General features: G+C 43.2%; 1 annotated feature.

Moving 5' to 3' along the window:
- Positions 1,438-1,937: an enhancer, noted in NCBI's record as "H3K4me1 hESC enhancer chr5:4099687-4100186 (GRCh37/hg19 assembly coordinates)". NCBI's record gives its function as "activates a minimal SCP1, AML or CMV promoter by ChIP-STARR-seq in naive H9 embryonic stem cells {active_cell/tissue: H9 hESC(naive)}" and the evidence as "EXISTENCE:reporter gene assay evidence [ECO:0000049][PMID:30033119]".

The following is a 3,919-nucleotide window of genomic DNA, read 5'->3' as shown; positions in this document are numbered from 1 at the left end:
AAATCTCAAATGCAAAGGGCTTTGTGTATAGCAATCCGCATGGGAGTGAAATACGGTCGTGTATCTTTCCGATCTGGAATTTCCACCGCCTGTGTTACAGGGAAGCAGAGTATGCCGAGACAGAGTGAAAGCGCGTTTTGACTTGTGGAGTGGTTCGGAGCAGCCCTGGCGGCAGATAGTAGAGCCAACTGAAGAGCCCACGACTGTTTTTTCCAATTTAACTCAAATAAAACTTTTTGCTTATTCTGCTTTAAGATGTAGTTACTTCATTTTTTTTTCCTTTCTATTCACCATCAAGAAATAGAAAACAAGCTAGTTTTAATTAATTTTCAGAATGCTTGCAAATATACTCCAGAGAGCTACAGCGTAACAGATGTTAATTTGGTGACCGTTGGCTACTCCTGTGAGCCCTGGAAGTGTTTCCCCTCGTCCCGTTGCTCTCCTGTTGGCTTCTTATCACTGACAGCGGAGAAAGACTGATGGGCCTTGGCGCCCACTTGAAATCCCCCCATCGACCGACCCTTTCGTAGTACGAATTCAGCAGCAAACAGATATTGTTCGCACATCCTGCCAGCTTCATGGAGTGGCCTGAAAAGGTGCTGACAGACACTGGACTGAGACCGGGAGATTCCTTCACACGTGAATTTGCTGGCTTTTTGAGACCTGAATCACCTCGATTGTGTGGAGTGGCCACTTCTGGATGCGATTTTCAGTGAACAGAAATAATCCCAAATAAATGTGGTATGTTTTGTTTGTTTGCTTGCTTTTGTTTGCTTTACTTTATAAAGGTTTACAGAGGAAGTAAAATAATATCTTAGAAATATGGGGAAGTCTAGGCTGGTGGCCATGAACAAAGAAAATGAAATGAACCTTCCCTATCACAGATTGAAAAAGCAGGCAGAGGGTTAGGCTGAGAATTCCACTCTAAACCCAGTCCAAATATGGGCGGCTTTTATCTAAAGATCTCTGAATTTGAAAGGTAAAATATCCTGGCATTTACCCCGCCCACACATCTTGAAGTGAGTCCGGAAGGAAAAAGATAACATGAGAGTAAATGGCCTGACTTCATTCTCCTGCCATTTAGCTTAAAAGCATTTCCCATTTTTGGGCAATTTAGCAACTATTTTAGGCTATTAAAGTTACAAACATGTGAACAATGAATCTCAAGTCTTATTATCCAAATTGCCTTTGGATAAGTTTAGCAGTAAAGCCTTCTGCAGAAATCAGAAAAGTAAGATCGTAATTAAAACGATTAAAATTATAAATTTATTTTGCTTTCCCTTAAAGGGTTCCTAAGCACAGTGTTATAGAATTTCACTCATTTGACAGCTATACATTTTGGGGACAAAAAATGAGCTTTTAAGTTAACAGTGTCATATCTGGCCCTCTGCGTTTTCCAAAATGAACTCTTTAAAACATTAAAATCTGTGTCTTTCTATGTGTTTGTTTTTTAAATGGTGAATTTGTTCTTGAAACATTCTGAATCAGAATTCGGAAGTTGTATGACTCTGGGGAAACTTCACTGGCTCAGTTGGAAAGGTTGAGGGTTTTGAATGAGATTGTGGAGAAGCACTGAGGCTGTACGGGGATCCTAGAGGCAGGAGGTTGGTGGGGAGTTAGACACGTGTAGATAGGAGTTCAGAATTAACAATTCCCTGCTATGTGGTCTTGGGAAAGCTACTTAATTTCACCAAGACAGAATTTTTCTGTGTAATACGGATATCAGTATCTGTCTTGCAAAATTGTAAGGTTCATACTATAGATAATGTATATAAAGATTTTGAACACAGAGGATGACGTTACATCTGAGCCTGCCTGGGCATGAGGTCTAATGGAAGCATAGACTCTCCTTTGTCTGAAATGACCCAAAACTCAGCTTTGCAGTTGAGGATGGGGGTGTGTGCAGCTCGGCAGCAGCTGCTCCCTGCCTGTTGCTGGCTGCATCCTCAGAGCTGCTGACAGGTGGCATTGGGGCCCCGTGGTGGTCCGCATGGTCGTTCAAAGTCACAAAACACATGGACGCCTGTGAAAATTTTCATCCCTTTCTGCTACTCTAATCAGTGTTCGATATTACTTGTATATATAGAAAGGCACATGTGCAATCTATGTGGAATGGCTTTGGTGACTAATATAACGACAGATAAGAGAGAAACTCTTGCAGGTGCTTAAGGCACTTTGTCTTTTTTTTGTTGTTTTTTTCTCATTTTTTTGAGAAGGAGTCTCACTGTCACCCCAGGCTGGAGTGCAGTGGCGAGATCTCGACTCACTGCAACCTCCGCCTTCCAGGTTCAAGCGATTATCCTGCCTCAGCCTCCTGAGTAGCTGGGATTACAGGCATGTGCCACCATACCCGGCTAATTTTTGTATTTTTAGTAGAGACAGGGTTTCACCATGTTGGTCATGCTGGTCTCGAACTCCTGACCTCAAGTGATCCACCCTCCTCAGCCTCCCAAAGTGCTGGGATTATGGGAAAGAGCCACCGCGCCCAGCCTAGGCACTTTGTCTTGATCTATCTCAAAGTCCACTAGCCAGCATTCACTTGTTTTAGTGACGTTGTCACTCTCATTATCTCTGTTTCTATATTAGTTTGCTGGGGCTTCCATAACAAGGTGCCACAGATGGTGGCTTAAACAGCAGGTTTGCCTGTCCTCACAGTGCCGGAGGCAGGAAGTCCTGCCAGCAGGATTGGTTGCATATGAACTCTGGAGGCCCCTCTCCTTGGCTCCTAGACAGCCATCTTCTCCCTGTGACTTCATAGGGCCTTCTCCAATATCTGTCTGTGTCCTAATCTCTTCTTCTTATAAGGGCACCTGTCGTAGAAAATTAGGGCTTGCCCATATGATTTCATTTGAACTTAATCACATATTGAAAGACCCTATTTCTAAATACAGTCACATTCTGGGTTATCGGGGATGAGGACTGTCAACACAGGAGGGTGGGAGGAGGCGAAACTCAGCCCGGAACAATTACTGATCTGCAACGCTGGCTCTCACACGTTGGCATGTGTGCATTTGGGTCCCCGACTTGCTTGCTGGACCCTACCTGTCCTCAGAGTTTCTGATTCAACAGATTTGCTTGGGGCTGAATAAACGTGCATGTCAAATTCCAGGTGATACTGATGCTACTGGCCTGGGTGCCACAGTTTGAGAAGCACAGATTCAAAACACAGCAACACTGTGGAGAAGGAAGGCCCCATCAGTGGTCCATGTGACTGGCAGAGACCCGAACTTGAGCCCACAGAGCGTGTTGCTGAGAAAGGCCTCCTCTTGCATATCTAGAGAGCCTCCTGACTCTCTTGCTGTGCTTCTCAACATAAGCAAAAAACAACTTTATTTCATTCTTAAATGAAAACAACCACTCAGCATTAAAAAGAGCAATCTAATAGACCTTGGAAATATCTCACCTGGTAATGAACATAAAGTTATTGAAAAGCAGAAAGAATATGCTCCGGAAATCCAGAGCCTAGGAAGCAGAGGCTGCAAAGACAATGGTCTTTACTATCACTGTGCCCAAACCCAGAGCTGGGAAATCAGCAGGCACCAGGTAACGAAGATTAATGACATTTGAGAGCATTCATCATTTTCTTTCTTACCTTCTTCTAGGCCCTTGCCCACAGAATCTTTCATTTTTATTGAATTTGTGATGCTCTTTTGGAAAGGAGCATCACACATGGGTTCCATGAAGGACCAGGCAGAAAGCTGGGGTTAGAGATCTTTCCACAACCCCTGGGAGAGTGACATTTTCAGGGTTGAAGGACTCTGAGGAGAGTTGGACATTATTCCCCTGTCAAAGTAAATTCAATAAAAATATTTGGTAATAATTTTATGATAAAATGGCATTTGTCCTTCATAAGAGGATAATGAAAGTATTTATCTATATGATTATTTTCTAACCACTCTTAAGCTAGGATGTTGGTTGA

The sequence above is a fragment of the Homo sapiens genome, chromosome 5, assembly GCF_000001405.40.
Source record: "Homo sapiens chromosome 5, GRCh38.p14 Primary Assembly".
NCBI classification, from domain to species: Eukaryota; Metazoa; Chordata; class Mammalia; order Primates; family Hominidae; genus Homo; species Homo sapiens.
This window is presented reverse-complemented; position numbering and strand designations above follow the sequence as displayed.